Genomic DNA, 20,569 nt, shown 5'->3' on the forward strand with positions numbered 1-20,569 from the left:
TGAAGATGTAGAAATCATAATGAGGCAAAAATAACAGCTTCTCTGTTCAATGTTTATTAACAATTAAGATAAAGTGTGCTGTATGTTTTGTGGGCAGCAATCATTCATCAAAACCATCTTACTCTAATCTAGATGAAAGGATGAATTAGAGAGTTCTCTGGCCTAAATGAAATGACCAAACAATATGAAAAAAAGTGAAATATATATATAGTGTTTCTCAGTTCCTGTTTGTAAGTCAGAAGCCAAACGAAGTGAAAAGATGGAGGTGTTTTTGCTTGCTTGTGTGTTTTTTATGTGTGTGTGGGGGTGGTGATGGCAGAAAGATAACTTTCTGAGAGAAAAACACAGACATTTTCCTAGGAAAAGTGTCATTCCAGCCAGCCATAAAGAAACAATTTTGGGCCAGGCGCGGTGGTTCACAACTGTAATCCCAGCACTTTGGAAGGCTGAAGGGGGCAGATCACGAGGTCAGGAGTTCAAAAGCAGCCTGACCAACGTGGTAAAACCACGTCTCTACTTAAAATACAAAAATTAGCCGGGCATGGTGACATGTGCCTGTAATCCCAGCTACTTAGGAGGCTGAGGCAGGAGAATGGCATGAAACAGGGAGGCGGAGTTTGCAGTGAGCAGAGATGGTGCCATTGCACTCCAGCCTGGGAAACAAAATAAGACTCTGTCTCAAAAAAAAAAGAAGTAGTAATTTTGATAAGAAGGAAAAAAAAATAGAGCTCCTTTCACAAGAGGTAGATAAAGTGGAGTCTTGGCAGAAGAAATATATGGATAACAAATCAAGACCTGAAATCACTTGTGATTTGCTGCCGAATGGGTGTATCTACCAAAGTCATATTGTAGGTAGGTAAGAAAAGAATCAAATGAAGCAGACCATGAAAAGTCCCCCTGGGTAAGTAGCTGAACACCTATAAAATGTAAGGGATATTTTTTCCTCTGGGATAAACACATATATCAGCTAAGAAATAACATGGTTAGAATCAAGCACACTATTTGGAAAATTACTGAGATCATCAATAATCCAGTGAGGGTCATTAAGATATGATTTTGGAGAGTGGTCGAAAGAAAGAAATGAGATGATGCATTAAGATTACACAGCAGTCAGTAGTGACTGGAATTAGGGATTAAATGAGCAGACTACTGGTGAGGCTTAATGAGTAAAAACAGATTCAACAATATCGCTTCCATGTTGTACGTGGGATTTGAGAGTGCATCAGAGTCATTGATAAAGTCATGGAAGTCAGAAAGCAGGAAAAAAAAATTCATGAAAGTAATTAGTTTGATTTTTTTTTTCTACCCAAAAGTGACTGCTATGCCATTTTGGGATATTCTGTCTAGTCATTTTTTCTATGCATTTTTTAAAATTATACTTTAAGTTCTGGGATACATGTGCAGAATGTGCAGGTTTGTTACATAGGTATGCACGTGCCATGGTGATTTGCTGCACCCATCAACCAATCATCTACATTAGGTATTTATCCTAACGCTATCCCTCCTCTGGCTCCCCACACCCTGACAGGCCCCGGTGTGTGATGTTTCCTTCCCTGTGTCCATGTGTTCTTATTGTTCAACTCCCACTTATGAGTGAGAACATACAGTGTTTTGTTTTCTGTTCCTGTGTTAGTTCACTGAGAATGATGGTTTCCAGCTTCAGCCATGTACATAGTTTGATTTTTAATGTGAAATTTGAGCTGTCTTTGAAATATCCAGATGATAATGTTCATAAAGCAACTGACAATGTGGATTAACAGCTTAAGCAGACCAATGGGGCAAGGCATATGATTTTACGGCCAGCCACATTAAACAAGTGGCTGAAGATACAGGGGTGACCATGAAAGACAATGGAGGGAAGGAGAGAGAAAAGGAAACGGCAAGGGGATAAAGAGAAGAAGAAACAGGAGGAGAAAATGAAGGAGGAGAACTAATGGAGAAGGGTGAGAAAGAGGAAGAGGGATAGGAAAAGGTATTATGGGGAAGAAAAAAGAACTCTGAGGAACAAAATCACCTTAAGGAGTACGCGACAAAATAAGAGAAAGTCATTCAAACATAAAACAGATCAAGTCAAGGAGAACAACTAGGATATTCTCTTTCTCAGAAATGCCTGAGAATAACTTACTTGCAAATTAAGTCATTTATTCTACAAAAGATTTTTCTTTATTTGAAATTTAAATTCCAACTAATTTCCATCAGGAATGTTATAAAGACACACACACACACACACACACACACACACACACACGAGTATCTCACTGGATTGCTAAATTAAAATATCAGGACCACATTTGGGAGGTAAGGCATTCTGTACTATACCTGACAATGGTCACCCAATTTAGCCTTGAAAACCATAATCAATACTTGGCCTTTATTTGTGTCTAAAGTGAAGATGTTATTGAAGACACTATATGTCTGTATACTTCCTCTGGTGTTCATATCTTTATTTATTTGCAATTTTCTTGAGCAACTTAATTTTATAAAACTTGAGAACAGGGTTCTTGATCATATTTCTTTTTTTTATTTTTTCTCGCAGTTCCTTTAATGTTAAGTTTGGGGGCTTTAAATAATGAATATACATGTCTGTATTTACCAAATTCTGGCTTCCAATTTATCTCTACCTGTGTTTATTTGTCTCACCTTGTTCACCTGCTTCAAAGCTATGTGACTTTACTACATAGCATGCACCCTTATAGGCTGTCTTAAATGCAACTTGAAACAAACTTGGATATGTACTACACATTTTAAAAAATGGCTTTTGTAATCTTATACTTTGAACTTTAGATTCTGCCTACTACTTTTATCATACAAGGAAGAGCTCTAAAATCCTTCCTTTTATTATAGAATGTCTGGGTTGAGGGGTTTCTTATCATCATGGCAGGGGTTTAGGGATAGATAAGCAGATTCCAAAGAGGGAGAAACAAGAATAAAATCATGTTTGAAATACAGACTGCTCTGTAATATGTGATGGAGTCTTCAATGACTCAGAAAAATTGAGAGTGGGTCAATGGTACTAGCAGTCACTCCTAAAAAATGTTGTTAAGATGGACACAAATACAGAGGCCCTTGGTAATGTCGATTGCCTAATCCACCCTAGACATGAACCACTAGAGCAACCTAATATCTGGCTGACTACAGACCTAGATGACTTTCTGTTTCTCTGTGTGCTGCATCTGCATGTGAATATACACAAACAAATAATTAAACATCAAGCAAATATCAACAGGATTAGCTTGGCATGTTAGAACAAATCTTGATAAATCTGCCTCAGTAACAATACTCAAACTACAAGTCTATGAGAGGAATACAAATTCAGCTTATTGAAGTATTGTCATGTAAGGAAAGATATTTTAATAAAATTGCTCTTCCATCAGTTCCTGTTACTAAGGGACTAAAGCTACTGAGCTGTGGAACTTAGGCCAAAAAGGGGGATTTGGAAATGCAAATTAGAGATAAGGTGGTAATAAATGTCTTTCATTCAGCAATACACCATCCTTGATGCCAGGAGCTATTCTAAAGATGACTTTTAATAGATCTGTGAAATTGGAAGCATACATACCCAAAATGGACATTTCTGGCACAGTAGCATGATAGGGTCCATTAAGAAACTCTGGTGCATTGTCATTGATGTCTTGAACTTTAATAATAAATTCAGAAGGAGGCTCCAGAGGTTTGCTTGTCTCCCAGTCCACTGCTTGAGCTGTTAGGGTATACTCAGCCTTTTCCTCCCGGTCAAGTCTTTTTATAGCATGGATATCTCCAGTTACATCATTTATTTGAAATATGGTCCCAGCTCCATCACCTGATAGGATATACTTGATTTTTTTGCTCCCAGGATCCAGGTCTGTGTGTAGCTGAAATGAAAAATGGCATTAGTTAGTGATGGAGCAATCTGAAAAGTTATTTTTTTAACTACCTCCTTTTTGAATATTAAGTTGGTTCTTTTTACATAACATCATCAATTTCTGCTAATAGTAGCTGTACAAAGTGTATGCAGCTGTGCGGATATCAATTAAGAATAAAATATAATGAAATTCATCTAAATAAGTTAGAACAGTCCTTAAAAAGTACTCTGGCCTGTTTAGTATAAAACAACATGCTTTTAGAATGATAAAAAGGTCAAGGAGAAAAATACAAAAATATATGTGTTATTTTCCATTTATTACATTTGCTTAAATTATTATGATTAGTCACCTTTTATGGGTCACTATCTGTATGCCCAGGACTAGGTGAATCACTTCTCATATAATCATATCCTTTTTATTTAAAAAACTGGGTTAAGAATATTTCATATGACACATAAGAAAACTGATGCTGAACGAGGCACATATTTACCTCTCCAAGGTTTATATTTGACAGACTCAAGTATGGTAGATCCAGAATTCAACTCAGATCTGCCTGTGATGTTTATACAAACAAAAGTAATTCTAATATATTGACTGATATTAAGATATTATGTTTTTGAAAGTCTTTTTTCCTTTAGTTCTGACAATTCGTCTAGTCCAGGAAAATCATTCCCATTTTATAGAGAAGAACACTGAGGCCAGAATTTAGGAGTACATTTTCCAGAAATGGAACCCCTTCAGAAAATGACAACTTTTCACCATGAACCCAAATCCATTTTTGGTCATAGCAATGAATATTTACTGAATTTGTGTGTCAGGCAAATAGTCTGCCTAAAACATTTTGGTAGGTACCAGGGAAAACAGAATCCCTGGTTTTAAGGTTCTGACAATTTTCTCTCAGGCTGGAGACAGGAGTATTCTAATATTATACACGGTGTCTCTCCTGTTTTAAAAAACTAAAATAAAATAAAACAATAATATATGTATTTGGGGGTTTGAATTTTTAAAAGAAAAGCCCATTGCGATGTACTACTTCAATGTACATATTTTCAGTTTAACTCAGTTACTTAACTGCCAATATAGTTCCAGTTGAGATTTCAAATATTTGTTCCAAAAAAAAAAAAAAAAAACCGCCTTGTGGAAAGAAACTCCTAGAAATTCAAAAGATGCTGTGTTCTCTTGGGATCCCTTTTATTCAGAACAGCCTCTTTCACGTTCTTCAACAATTTAAATTGTATTAAGCCCTTCAATAAGTGAAAAGAAAGGCTTATAAAAAAGACATAAAATAGCAACAAAGATTCCAAATGCATCTAGATCTCCTACTTTACTTTTGAATATTTTTTAAAGTTAAAGCATAAGATTACATCAAATATTTATTGATTCTCAAAATGTATCCCTTTCATTTATTGTATAAAATGTATTAACATGAACAAATATTGAAATGCCACTTTATCTTAATGAATGTGGGATTATAATTCATTAATGTGATATTAATCCTAATTTAGGATCATTTTAATTTATGCACATGTTAACATTTTCATTAGCATTTTTATTAAAAAAATTTGAATAATATATAATTCATGGAAGTTTCCATTCACATACAAGGAGTTCTTGAGACACAGAAGGGATCAGTATGTATCATTTTTGTCCACAAAACTTTGTTAATTAACAAATAAACTATTACATTTGGTGTCATTATTATTTATGTTAAAACTTATTTGTGCCATATTTTCTTCTAATTATCAATAGCCTCTGATTATTAAATGATATTACAATTTTATGTTTCAATGCTCCCTTCTGTTAAAATTAACTAAGAGAAGTAACTAATGATAAAAAAGAAGCATAGGTTTTTGTTTGTTTGTTTTGTTTTGTTTTTTGAGACGGAGTCTCGCTCTGTCGCCCAGGCTGGAGTGCAGTGACGCGATCTCAGCTCATTGCAAGCTCCGCCTGCCGGGTTGACGCCATTCTCCTGCCTCAGCCGCCCGAGTAGCTGGGATTACAGGCGCCCGCCACGGCGCCCGGCTAATTTTTTGTATTTTTAGTAGAGACAGGGTTTCACTGTGGTCTTGATCTCCTGACCTTGTGATCCACCCACCTCGGCCTCCCAAAGTGCTGGGATTACAGGCGTGAGCCACCTCGCCCGGCGAAGCATAGGTTTTTGAAAGAACAAAACACAAAGCTAAGATTCTGGTTTCTCTAACTACATGAACTGAAGAAATTCACTCATTTATTTGTGTTTCAGTTACTTTGCCTAGAAGACGGGGATAAAGCATCTATCTGCAGAACTGATTTTAGAAACTGAAACCATCCAGCTATCCGAAAATTATTAAAACAGAGAAGAGGCACTATTAAGTGACCATTTTTACTTCATATCACATTCAGTCATATGCAACTATCTGAAAACATTGTGATAATCCCAGTTCCAATGTAAGTGAAAGTAAATTCTCAAGACTCCATTCAAAAACAGCTTTTAAATATACAGCACTTTTTAAAAAAAAAAAAATGAGGTATATACGTCCTCTTTCTTTCAGAAATTTCACTTTTAGCTTATCCAAGTAAAATCCAGATCCTGGGGCCAATGATAATCTCAGAACACAATATATGTATGTTCATTTATTTCATCCTATTATTTGTATCACACACACTGACACACACAGACATGTACATACTCTTGCACATGACTTGTTCAGGTAACCAACTTGATAATATAAGAAAAGACTGTAGGTGTGCAAAACCAGCAATTTACAGAGAGCAACGTCACCTGAGGCTGCAGGTCTGGCCCTCCAAGTACAGAATACATGGTTACAAGCTGTGGCTTTTTCTGTCAGTCTTCACATAAGTGTGTCATATCATATTCACTTAAATGCAACAACACTGCCTGGTCAACGTACGCCCCCTAAGAACCTCCTCTCTGAGATTATGGCGCCAAAGATATCCCAAATGCACTGAATGTTCACATATGTGCATCATGTAGAGCAGGGATCCCCAATTTCTAGGCCATGAACTAATTCTGGTCCAGGCCTCAGGGCAGGAGGTGAGCAGCAGATGAGCGAACATTACTGCTTAAAAAATACTCTGGACTGTTTGGTATAAACCAAAATGCTTTTAAAATGATTTTAAAAGAAAGGTCAAGGAGAAAAATACAAAAATATAAGTGTTATTTTCAACTTATTGATACATTTCTTGAAAGTGATTATGATTAGCTACCTTTTATGGGTCACTATCTGTGTGATAAGGGCTATGTGAATCACTTCTCATGTAATCATTTCCTTTTTAGAAACAAAATGAGCTAAGAATATTTCATGTGAAACATATAAAACACAGAGCGGATACATGGTTACAAGCTGCTGTTTTTTCTGCTGCTCTTCACGTAAGGGTGTTATACCTTGTTCACATAAAGGCAACAACACTGCCCTGTCAACATATCCACCCAGAACCCTTTGTCAGATCAGCAGTGGCATTAGATTCTCATAGGAGCAGGAACCCTATTGTGAACTGCACATGCATGGGATCTAGGTTGCATGCTCCTTATGAGAATCTAATGCCTGATGATCGGAGGTGGATTCGTTTCATCTGGAAACCAAATTCCCACCTTTTCCAGTCTGTAGAAAAATTGTCTTCCACAAAACTGGTCCTTGGTGCCAAAAAGGCTGGGGAAGGGTGATCTAGAGAAACGAGTGCCATCTCTTCCAAGGGCTGCTTCTGCTCATCAGAGTGGGATCAGAATCACATGCAATCCCGCCTGGGCAGGTAGGACTCATTCAGCTGGCTGTAGTACAATAAGATCTCATCCATTCATTCGATAAACCCCATGCTCTTCTCTGTCTTAGGGAGACACAGACAAAGTCTCTGCTCTCAGAATACCATAATTTTGTGGGAGACAGAAACAAATAAACAGAAAATTTAGGGGAAATAGAGCCATTAATATATTAATATTTTAGTAAACTACATAGTAATATATTGTTAATATATGTAATTAATATATTTAATTATGGTTATTATTAATGTATTGACTATTTATTACCTGGTAAACATTTCATATTTATAATGTTATATTCACAGCAAACTAAAGATGATTTCTTCATTTTACCAATGAGATTACTGAGATTGAGAGATTTTCACGGAACTTTCCCAGAGAGTTTATAATCTGCAAGTAGCAAACTTAATGGCACAAATTTTGGAGTTCATTTCTGGATTCAAATGTATGCTGTAAGAGCCATGCTAAGAGAGGAACTGGGGACTGTGAGAGCATACAGAAATTTTACTTAACTCAGAAAATGGGGTATAGAGGGACAGAAAGTCCACCCCAAAGAAGTAATGATTAAAACTTCAGGGGCAGGAGAATCGTTGAACCCCGGAGGTGGAGGTTGCAGTGAGCCAAGATCGTACCATTCCACTCCAGCCTGGGCGACAGAGCAAGACTCCGTCTTGAAAAAAAAGAAAAAAGAAAAAAAAAAGCTTCAGATCTCAACATTGGAGAAAATGTGTGCCAAGCACAGGGAATATTGTGGGTAAAAATGCAGAGATGAGAGAGAGCATAGTATGGGAGAGAAACTAATAGATAGAGCAAGGAATTGAGGAAAAGAAAGGTAATAAGAAATAAGAATAAGAGAGCAAGACAGGGGCCACATTACACAGAGTTGTGAAACCAAGATACAGGGTATGGATTTAACTATAAATGTGACAAGAAACCATAAATAAATGGTTTCAAAAAGGAGTTTGACTTCATAATAGTTTTGTTGTAGTATATTGCAGTGATTGGTGTGTGCTTACAAGCAAACAATATGGAAGCAAAGAGAAAGGGGAGGTCAGGAAAAAAACATAGACACCATTCTCAAAGCTTCCTTAATTCTGATTCTCGAGGCCAGCCTAGCATCCAGGATCTGGCACGTTTACAACCAGATGAATCCTCAAACCCTCTGGCCACCCACTGCAGCCTGGTTGGAGAAGCAGAGAGTATCAAGTGTGCAATGAATAATCCCAGTCATATACAGTAAGCCTTCAATTTCAGGAATTCTAACAGGACTGCTACATAATGGAGCTGAATTGTGTGTATCAGCACCATTATACCCTCATCATCTTCCATATATTTGCCTAACACCATCCAATTAAAAGACAAGATTTTACTATAAAAGTTTCATGGGAAGAATCACCTGCATTTCATTCTCCTTTGTATTTCCTCTGCCTAGTAAGGTATCTGGCATATTGTTGGAAGCCCAGTAAATATTTGTGGAGTAAAGTGAAAATAAAGGAATGGAAAGAAAGGAGATTTTTCCATTTATTTTCAAAACAATGATTGTAAAAAGAAGACAAAGGAATTTAGAAAAATTATTCCCAGGGCCCTAAAATCTTATCTGCTATAAATGCAAAGCCCTCGCATTTCCTCACATATGTATTCAAATTTAGCATCCAACATAGGAATTAAGACGTTTTAAAGGAGCTGATGGAAGAAAAGATGGGTAGGTGATAGATGGGTAATGGATGAATAATGGATGATAGATGCCAATTATCTTGTACACAGTCATCACTGCTTTCAAAATCAGAGTAAGAACCCTGGTCTTCAGTATCATTCATATCCTTCTCAAGGTTGCACACACTGATTGTGAAAAAATAATGCAAATTACTTTTTCATCCTCTTACACAGGATTCTTCAGGAGCCTAAAGTAATCCTAGGACAACAGCACCAAGAGTAGAAAAATACTCCTTTGTGAGTAGCTATCTTAATACCAAATCTACTCAGTTACCAGAGAAGATCAGACTGGGCCACTCTGCCTACCTCTTCCTCTAGAATAAGATGAGGATTGGGATTGAGTAAATTACACAGGAAATTGCTTCCACATTTGAAAATCAGGTAGCTCTGACATCAAAACTTCTTTTGAAGTTTCACTCTATCAAGAAGGACATCATGGGAAAGTTTCTCCAAGTACCTAAGGGCCAGACATGGTGGTTCATGCTTGTAATCCCAACACTTAGAGAGGCTGAGGTGGGCAGATTGCTTGAGCCCAGGAATTCGAGGCCAGCCTGAGCAACAAAGTGAGACCCTGTATCTAAAAAAAATAGAAAAAATTAGCTGGGCATGGTGGTGCACGCCTGCAGTCCCAGCTACCCAGGAGGCCAAGGTGGGAAGATCACGTGAGCCTGGGTGTCAAGGCTGCAGTAAGCCATGATTGCACCACTGCACTCCAACCTAGCTGACAGAGTGAGACCCTGTTGCAAAAAAAAAAAAAAGTTAAGTAAAGAAATATATAACTTACTGGGGAGAAAACCTACACCTTTTAGAACCCAAAGAGTTAACAGGGGCCAGACACGGTGGCTCACGCCTGTAATCCCAGCACTTTGGGAGGCCCAGGTGGGCGGATCACGAGGTCAGGAGATCGAGACCATCCTGGCTAACACGGTGAAACCCTGTCTCTACTAAAATACAAAAAATTAGCTGGTCATGGTGGCTGGTGCCTGTAGTCCCAGCTATTCAGGAGGCTGAGGCAGGAGAATGGTGTGAACCCTGGAGGTGGAGCTTGCAGTGAGCCAATATTGCGCCACTGCACTCCAGCCTGCGCGACAGAGTGAGACTCAGTCTCAAAAAAAAAAAAAAAAAAAAAGAGTTAACTGATCACTGCAACATGAATCTCTGTCATATATTGATCCCAATTTTTCATTAATCTGTTCACCCTTAGAGAGGAGAGCAAGCTTAGCACTCCTGAATCAAATTACATCTTAGCATTATTTTCTCCAAATCATGCCTGTCAGGCAGAAAGAGAGAAACTGGGCAGCTGGCTATCAAGCTGTCAGTGAATTAATTACTATCCTTAACTCAGAGCCATTCAATATCAAAGATGGGACCAGGGACTTTGACATGATATTAGTTTTGGGCCCAAGTCTCCCAAATGATAAGCATATAGGACTTCAATCTAGAGCAGACAAGTGTTTAGGCTACTAGGACAGCGAAAGGGCAGGAAGGAGAAAGAAAAGGAGGAGCTGAAGACTTCTCTGCATGTTTCTGAACTGCTACCAAAAAGATCAGGAGTAAGCCTTGAAATTGACTCATGTTAACTTCCATTCAGCCTTCTTTCATACTACAGAATATCTCACAATGAATGTTACCAAATGTGAAATGGACCATTCAAGAAACATTGTTTTCAGGGAGAACTGAACACCCACTTGTGATTGATGCTTTGGAGCTGAATAAAGCATCATGTGATGGTGGTAGATGGAGTGGGAGGAGGGAGGCTTCAGGCTGCACCACATAATTGGGAAAATGCCTTTATATGCTGAAATGTCTTACTGCTACAGTCAATCTAAATAAGGCAAATATAGTTATCTTTCATTCGGTCCTTCCATTCTTAATAAGTTGCAGAAACAAATTACATCATAAAATTAAAGCTAGGCAATAAGCATACGAATACCCCAAAATTTTAGTTAAAATTAAGTTTGGAATATGCAATGACCCTCATGATCACATAGTCTAAGGAAAAAATATTTCTGTGAAATAAAAACACTTCTCAAGGTAATTCTCATATTATACCAAAGTACCCTTAAATTTGTCTTACAAAGTGAAAGGCTAAAGGAGAAATAATCCTTGATCAAATGAAAAGAACATAGTATCCAACACTGGAAATAACCTCTGCTCTACGAAAAAAAAAAGAAAGAAAAATATTTAACATTTTATGGCAGGCAAATGTGTAGCATTTGGTATCTCAGACATGCTTTCCTTCCATTCTGTGTCAGCTGCTGGTGTGAGCGTTGAACAGCTTGACCTGGCCATGGGGACCGGTGCCCAGAGAAATAGAAAATTGAAAACATGCCCAAATGAACTGCTGTTTTTGGCTGTGGACACCTGGAAAAAAGTCAAAGAATGGAATGCACTGCTTGTGCTACTCTTTTAAATGGTAAGTTCCACAAGTGCAAGCCCTCTATGTGCATTATTCATCACTATACCAAACAACCAGCATGGTACTTGGCACATATTAGGTGTTCATTAAAGACTAACTTTTTGTCTCCATAAGACATATCTCAATACCCTACACCTTGTCGGTGATTCTACACAGATGAATGGCTTAGGTGACATAACTGGATGTAATCCATTGAGTCAGATTCCAGAACTTATGTACTTTGGCATAATTTTATAAAGACCCTCAGGAAAGCATGAATAGTAAGTCTGAAGACCTCCTGATTCTCTAGAGGAGGAGTAGACAGAATAGAGAAGCCTCTCTACTTTGCTCCTAAATGGCAATAGAAATGTAACATATACATTTAGAAGCCATGTGTATGAAACCACATGGTCTAGGCACCTTCTGTAAACCAATCTGTCCTGTAAAATTTTGAAATAGAATAAACCTAGAAATAGAAAGGCAGTATACCCAAAAACTCAGCTAATAGAAGTGCAAAGAGAGAATATTTGACAAGGAGAGGCTGGCAAGCTTTTTCCCAGGAGAATTCCCAAGCCAGTGTTCATGGCCTTGGCAAATTTTCTACTATCTTCGGTCTGGACCGCAGTTTTACGGGTTTGGAAACAACATGTGTCAGCCCTATAGCAAATCCGTTGCTTGTAGCTAGACTCCAATAAAGTTCACAAATCTCATTTTTTTATAAAAAATATAATTTCTAAGATTCTTAAATACTTATTATGATGAGCAAATTATTTTTATATAAGAACCCACACACAAATGAAACCTTTTTGATAGAATTCAGAGAAAGGAGAATTAGATGGATTAATTCTGTAATTATGCCAGAAAATAAAATCACTTAAATATGCCCATTTAATTTTTTTAAAAGGTCTTAAAAATACATCAAGAATGCTCAAATTCTATATTCTTAGAATTTCTCTTTTTCTTTGCATTCTGTGTTGGAAACTCCAATATTTAACCAAGCAGCCACAAAAAAAAAAAAAAGGCAACAGAAATCACTTCTTTGGATACATATTTTCTTATGTATGCTGATAATAGTCTGATTAAAATATTAAATCTTATGGGCTTGGAAATCAATATGTTTCTCTAAGACAAGCAAAGATTTAAAAGTGTTCAGACTGTGGGATCTAGAATAAGAGTCTGATAAGAAATAGAGGTAGATTGGAACAAATATACTGAGAAATTTACTTAACCTCTCCAAGACTAGTTTCCTTATTTGCAAGATAGTTTAATAACAGTACTTGTCCTTTAGAGTTCTTGTCATTATTAACATTAGATAATAGATAATGCTGTTAAAGGCACGATATGTCCCAGAAACTATGATATTCAAATAAAAAGGCATATAGGGTGGACTCTTATGGGGATTAAATTTAGGAAATATAATGATGAGTCTGCCCAATCTGGAATTACTTTCCAAGAAAAGTATGCCTATCAACGTATTCGGGGTTAGAATTCAATATACAACATTGATTTGTAGTAAAAATAAGAATGTAACTTCTTGAATTAAATTATCTGGATACAATCTGAGCTTAACGTCTTACATTGGGCAAGTTACTTAATAAATACATGTTTGGTACTTATTCACCCATTCAATAAGCAATGATATAAAATATATCTGGAAGGTTTTATTTCTTGTTTACTTAATAATTATAAGCCTAGACATGGGAAGAGGGTGGTCGATGTGCACTGGGTCAGTGAATAAATACTTGAGTGGGCAAGAGTGTGAGTGAATAGTAATAGTGGGTCAATTACTGAAAAGAGATTTAGGTGAATAACTCCAAGAGTGGAAGGATGGACGGATGGATGGATGGATGGATGAATGGATGGATAGATAGATGGATCAATAACTGATTGATAAGAGAACTAAGGGGAAGAATATGGGTGGATGAGTGATTTTATTGGAGAATGCATGGATGAAGGGCATAGTAATAAAGCGATTACTAACTAAATGAGATTCTCAGCCATCCTTCCATTTATGTTTCAATGCACATTAAATGTTTTAAACAAATGGATGAATAAACTAATAGATGCACTGGTGAGTGGGTAGGCTTCAAGAACCACAGTGTCTATCGCGAAAGATAGATCTGGGAAAAAAACTAACAAGTTATTCTTTCCCAGGGTGTTACTCCTTATTTTGCACTAAAGCAGGCATAGGCGTTGGAAGTTAAACTTTAATTCCAAGAGATTCTTCTATAAAGAGTTTTGGTACATATTTGATTTTCATCAACACAATATCTCTTTATGAATTCCCTAAACCCCCCCCCACCACCTCTCTCTCTTTTTCACTCTTGATAGGTAGATGAATAGAGATATAGATATGTGTATAGATATGGATACCGATATCCATCCATTCTATAAAGAAAGCAGAAGTTTTCAACAAATAAACACCCAGTGAAGTAATAAATGATGAAATAAGAATAAGACTGAAAAATACACCCAGGTTTATCAGCCAAACAAAAGAAGTGGATCTTACAGAGATATGGATATTTAACACAGATAAAACAGATATTCAGAAAATTTTCCAAAGGGCGAGCCACAGAGGAACATTAGATTGTACTGTCAAAAAGTGTGAAATCCTGACAGAATGTTATATCAGTGCTCTTTATGTTTCAAAGAGCTTGATTAACAAGAGTACTAATAGGAGCTGAAAATATGAGATAGATTTCTCATACAGTAATCACAATCACTTGCAAAACAGGATGCATCTTGTTACTCAAATAAGTGACAATAGCACAGCGGGAAGGAACACAGTAGATAACCAAATAACAGTCATCTACTATGAAATTCCGTATTTATAAAAGGAGTATGGGGCAATCAAAATGCTATGAACTTGGAAGAACATTACAATTGAGGTTTTTAAAAAAAAAGACTACATAAAACTGGAGTTTCATTTGGGCCATAAAATAGGAGGGTGACAATGGCACATCATGTTTTTTTCTGTGTCAAAATGCTTGATTTTAACTTAGCTGTGTTGCTTACTCCTACTTCTTGAGCAATAAACTGTCTCATTTAAAGCTTTGGAAGAATGCAGAAGCTTGTGACAAAAATCCCTGCTTCAAAGAAATCATCACATTTTCGAGTTTCTGTCATGATTACTCAATGAATGGATGAATGGGTTGATGGATGGCTAGGTGAAGGGCTAATCAGATAGATAAGATAATTGGGATGAAGAGAATGGATAGACAAATGATTTTACTGAGGAATGTATGGGTGGATGAAAGAGAGAATGGCAGCATGACTAACTAAAGAAATTCTCAAACATCCTTCCTTTTGGATAAGTGAAAATCAAAAGACCTGGGTTGAATTACAGTGACCAGATATGATCTTGGGCAGGTCACCTACATTTTTTAATATTAATTTCCTTTTATTCAAATGTTATTAATAAGGCCATCAGCACCACAGTCAAAAATCTTCTCAGATTATCCTACAGATAATATATACATGAAAGCTTTTTTATACAACTACTCTCTCAAATATCATTACCCCATATAGCTTGACTTCCATATCCGTGGGTCCTGCATTCATGTATTCAAACAATCACAAACAGAAAATATTTTTAAAAAGAAAACAATTTTTAAAACACAGCAATAAAAACTAATATTCAATTTTTTAAAAATACAGTGTAATAACTACTTACATAGCATTTATATACTATTGGGTATGATAAGTACAAGTTGAATATCCCTTATGCTAAATGTTTGGGAATAGAAGTGTTTCAGATTTTGGATTTTTAGAAAACTTCAACAATTTGCATAGACATAATGAGATATCTTGGGGATGAGACTTAAGTCTAAACACAAAATTCATTTATGTTTCATATACACATTATACATACAGCCGGAAGGTATTTTATAAAATAGTTTTAATAATTTTGTGCACCAGTCACATGAGGTCAGGTGTCAGATTTTCTACTGGTGGAATCATCTTGGTAATCAAAAAGTTTTAAATTTTGAGAGATTACAGATTTCAGATTTTCAATTAGGGATGCTCAATTTGTCATCTAGATTATTTAAAATATACAGGAGGATGTACATAGGTTATATGCAAATCCTATGCCAGTGTTTATAAGTAACTTGAGCATTTGTGGATTTTGGAATCCTTGGAGACTCCTGGAACCAACCTCTCATGGATACTGAAAAACACCTATTATGCAGATTTGGAAATGGTGCCTAGTATGCCATCGGGTCATTCTAATTAAATGCTAATAATATAGCCTGCACCACTGAAAAGTGTGTGGTGTGTTTGTGTGTGTGTGCATGTGTACGTTTCTCCCTTCTCCATTCCACAAACAAAACTTGAAATTTGGCTGAAAACTAAAAACCAAACAAAACTTCAAAGGAAACCTGACAACCAAAGACGCCCTCTCACTATTTCACACTAAATAGATCTTTCACACATAAATAAAACTGTTGGAAATATGTATAACTCCTACATTAATAATAATATTAATATTTTATGAAAATAGAGTATTTTGTTCCATTTCTAATCAAAAACAAAAATAATCATTTCAAGCCCACTGTTATAGGCTAAATTATTTTCCATCAAAATCCATATGTTGAAGCCCTAACCCCCAATAACTCATAACATAACAGGATTTGGAGACAAGACCTTTAAACAAAAATGATTATGTTGAAATAAGGCTGTTAGGTTCCTCATCCAATCTGACTGGTGTCTTTATAAGAAGAGGTAATTTGGACCCATATAGAGAGAGCAGGGATGTGAGTGCACAGAGGAAAGACCGTGTCAGGACACAGAGAGAAGGCACCCATCACAAACCAAGGAGAGAAGTCTCGGAAAATAACAAATCTGCTGAAACTTTGATCTTGGACTTCTAGCCTCCAGCACCACGAGAAAATAAATTTCTGTTGCTTAAGTCACCCAGTCTGTGGCATTTTGGTAATGCAGCCCAAGCAAGCTCATACATCTTCCTAAAGCATACTAATTATCAATGAATACCTTATAGATGCAAAATGATGGCTGCAGTTTGCAGTGATACTATGCATAGATATGATTCTAGGTGTGGTAGGTGGGATAGTATCCATTCCCTAATTCCCAGACTTGTAAATATGTGCTTTACCTGTCAAGAGAGATTTTGCAGATGTGACTAAATTAAGCACCTTGAGGTAGGGAGATTTTTTTTTTCTGGATTATCCAAGTAAAACCAATCTAATCACATGAATCCTTAAAAGAAGTTTTTCTCTTGTATTCAGAAGAAGATCTGACTGCACAATAGTCAGTGAGATGTGACCTTCCTGACTTTGACAATGCAAGAATGATGCCACCAACATGGCACATGTATACATATGTAACAAACCTGCACGTTGTGCACATGTACCCTAGAACTGAAAGTATAATAATAATAATAAAAAGAGTTAAAAAAAAAAAAAAAAGAATGATGCCACTAGCCAAGAAATGTATGGGGTCTTTTAGAAGGCTGACAAAGCAAGGATCCAGATTTTCCCCAGAGGCGCTAGAAAGAAACGCAACCCAGTCAGACACTTTTATCTTGGTCCCGTGAGACCTGTGTTAGACTTCTAACTGACAGAATTATAAGATAATGCATTTGTTTCATTTTAAGCCACTAAATTTGTAATAATTAGTCACAGCAACAACAGAGAGCCAATACAGTATTTTCAATTAATGTAAGTAATAGAATTGTTGATGTGTTGACATGTTTACATATGAAGTAGCTAGTGACTTTGGGTAAACCTTGTATCCTTTCTAATTGTACCTTCCTTCCTTTGTAAAATAAGAGAAGGGGTACTAAATTACTTTTTCGATGTTTTCTAGCTCAAATAGCCTGTGAATATTTGGACACATCCTTCCTGTTTGCATGGCTACAGTCGGAAAATATACTGCTACCACAGCTACCCAGACATAGAAGAAAATCCATTCATGTGACTTTTCAGCCATTTCTTCAAGAATACTAATTGAGAGTATCCCTATCCTAGATATATTATATTCATTGTCTATTATTTCATTTAATTATCACAACTCTATGAGGCACATACAAAATTCTCATTTTACATATTCCAGAAACTGAAGATTTGAGATTTAATTGTTTGCTCAATATCACATGTAGCAAGTGATAAAAAAATGATTCAAACCCAAGACTATTAGCTTCTCAAGCCCATGCCTGTTTCATTGTTTCAACATTACGCACCAGAACCAAGTACGGGACAGAAAAAGATAAAAGTCAGCACCTGAAACCAAGGACTCCACTGTTCACAAAACTAGGTGTTTAGTGTTTTGTTTTTAAAGATACATTTTATATATTCCCTGTTTGCTCAATAGTCTTGCGAAGTTAAATCTAAGGTAAGAGTTTTCATCACTGCGGCAGGGAGTGACCTCTGAAAACCAGTAATACCCAATTAACAGCACAGGGTCTGACGTCACCATACTCCCCTGTGGAGAAGAGGCTAAGGATTGAGGTGAGTGGAACAGAACTTCCCCTTTCAAGAAGAATAAGCTTTTGGGAAATCTAGCAAACCTAGAAGATGGAGGTAGAAAGGTAGGGGGTGGGGCATTTGCAGAAAACAATGACAAGATGAAGAATTACTAGCTGTACTTGGCAAATCAGACCCTATCAATGGGAAATACTGATTTCAGTGATCATATATTAATACCACCCGTTAACAAATACACAGATAAAACCTTTCTTTGCACATTCAACCGTATCAGTAATATAATGGCACTGATTCAGTACATAACAGATGCTCACTATATAATTCTGAATATAGGAAAAAGCTCGATTCTCTCATTCCTTCCTCCAAGTATTTCTATATATTTGAGATAGACAAAAATAGATGCATATGTGCATTCACGACTTCTTTATCCACTCTGATTATTAAAAACATTGTGTCGGCCAGGCATTGTGGCTCATGCCTGTAATCCCAGCACTTCGGGAGGCTGAGGTGGGCAGATCACCTGAGGTTAGGAGTTTGAGACCATTCTGGCCAACATGGTGAAACCCCTGTCTCTACCAAAAATACAAAAATTAGCTGGGTGTGGTGGCGCATGCCTGACGTCCCAGCTACTTGGGAGGCTGAGGCAGGGGAACTGCTTGAACCCAGGAGGCGGAGGTTGCAGTGAACCGAGATCATGCACCTGCACTCCAGCCTGGTCAACAGAGCGAGATTCCATCTCAAAAAATAAGTAAATAAATAAATAATAATAATAATAGTAAAAACGTTGTGTCTGGCCTGGTGAACTCAGGTCACTATCAAATTGTATGGTCTCTTTAAACTTTTTTGTATTGATTAGATATGCTAGTTTTATTTGCAATGAAAAGTTGTCAGCACTACTAACACAGATACTAATAGATATGGAAAGGAGAGGGAATAAAAGTGGCAAAAAGCTCACCTGGGCAGGAGTTAGGGGAGAATATCTGCTTTCTGCCATATTAGTTATTTACTTTCAATATTGGTGCATTTGAGGAGAGAAAAAATATTGGGGGACACGTTATTAATGTAAAAGACTGTCAGAAACACCAGAGGGAGACTCGGATTCCAAAAGTTTCTTTAAATGATAAATATGTAGACTTCACTTTGTCATATTATGAAGTGCTGACATTAAAGAAATAAATTGATTTTTAATTATTTTTGCATGTGAGAACTGAGGGTACTTTGAAAGTGACCTTGTGCTAGGATAAAGTCTTGTTGCAGTTCAGCATTGCACAAATTATTTACCTATTAGTGTGTGTGTGTGTGTGTGTGTGTGTGTGTGTGTGTGTGTGTGTATGATGTCTGTCCTTGCAAGTTGGGAGTAGGAGGAGAGAACTGGGGAGAGAGGATGGAAGGATGGAATGCCGCTGTGTTCCTGCTGGCTGAGTTTTAGTCATCTATAGGTAAGGTTTTTTTAAAATACCTGGTCATTTTCTTCAGGGTGCAGGACAATTTTCTGGATGGCCTTGAACCAATTCAGTTCTCCCTGCTTTCTCTCCTGTACTGTTCAAGAATAACTGTAGAATGTGATGGGAATGCAACATCCTGAGATATGGAAAGACTGGTCAGACAGCCTGGGCTCTGTTCCTGTCCCTCCTACAAACAAGATGCCCTTCAACATTTGAGCCTAGTGTGTCCTGTTCCCCAGGTTATAAATCCTAAGGCAGACTGTTTTCTGGGGTCCCTTGGTAGCAGTACAAGTGGGGCATGCACAGACGAGACTTCATCCACCCTGTGCAGCATTACTGAGCCTTGGAGATAGGCTCATCATGAATCCTAGGCTTCTGTTGTCCCTTGCTGCCTATCTGTAAGTAACAAATCCACATGTTGTAGCTTGTTATGTATGTGAACATTCTATCTCACCAGACTCAGGCAAGGAGTAAAAGTACAGCCCAAGATGCAGTGAACTGAAGTGGTACCTAGTACATAGTGAACCTTCTTTGCACAGGGTACTGAACAATTCTGGCAAGAAGTAAAGCTGTAAAGTTGGTGACAAGATCTTCCCTACATCTACAGGAACTGCCTCTGTGAGGACTTTAGACCTAAGCCCTGGAAGAAACAGGGGTGTCAAGAGTAGCAGAACTCGTAGAATAGTCCATAGACCCCTGGCGATCTCTAAGACTCTTCCCAGGCAACCAGGAGGTCAAAGTTATTTGCTTTTTTTTTTTTTTTTTTTACCGTACTGACATTTGTACTGATGTACATGTAATGATGGGTACAACTGCTGCCACCTTAGTACCAATCAACACAGTGCCAACAACTGTACTGAGTCATAGAACTCTTCATTACTCACTCTCAGGATTAAAAAAAAAAAATCCAGTTTCACGTAAGAGTGTCTTTCATTATGCAGTAAAAAATATTTTTATTAACTCTCAGC

At 37.1% G+C, this 20,569-nt stretch overlaps 1 protein-coding gene across 5 annotated transcripts in view; it reads right to left on the reverse strand.

Moving 5' to 3' along the window:
• CDH8 (cadherin 8) overlaps positions 1-20,569 on the reverse strand; it is a 389,189-nt gene that overhangs the window by 250,370 nt on the left and 118,250 nt on the right. For all 5 annotated transcript variants that reach the window (NM_001796.5, XM_005255760.5, XM_047433482.1 and 2 more), the window contains exon 3: positions 3,560-3,854. In NM_001796.5, coding sequence (NP_001787.2) covers positions 3,560-3,854 — 295 coding nt within the window. The remainder of the gene's footprint in view (positions 1-3,559; positions 3,855-20,569) is intronic.

Source organism: Homo sapiens, chromosome 16 (genome assembly GCF_000001405.40).
Source record: "Homo sapiens chromosome 16, GRCh38.p14 Primary Assembly".
In the NCBI taxonomy this organism is placed as follows: domain Eukaryota; kingdom Metazoa; phylum Chordata; class Mammalia; order Primates; family Hominidae; genus Homo; species Homo sapiens.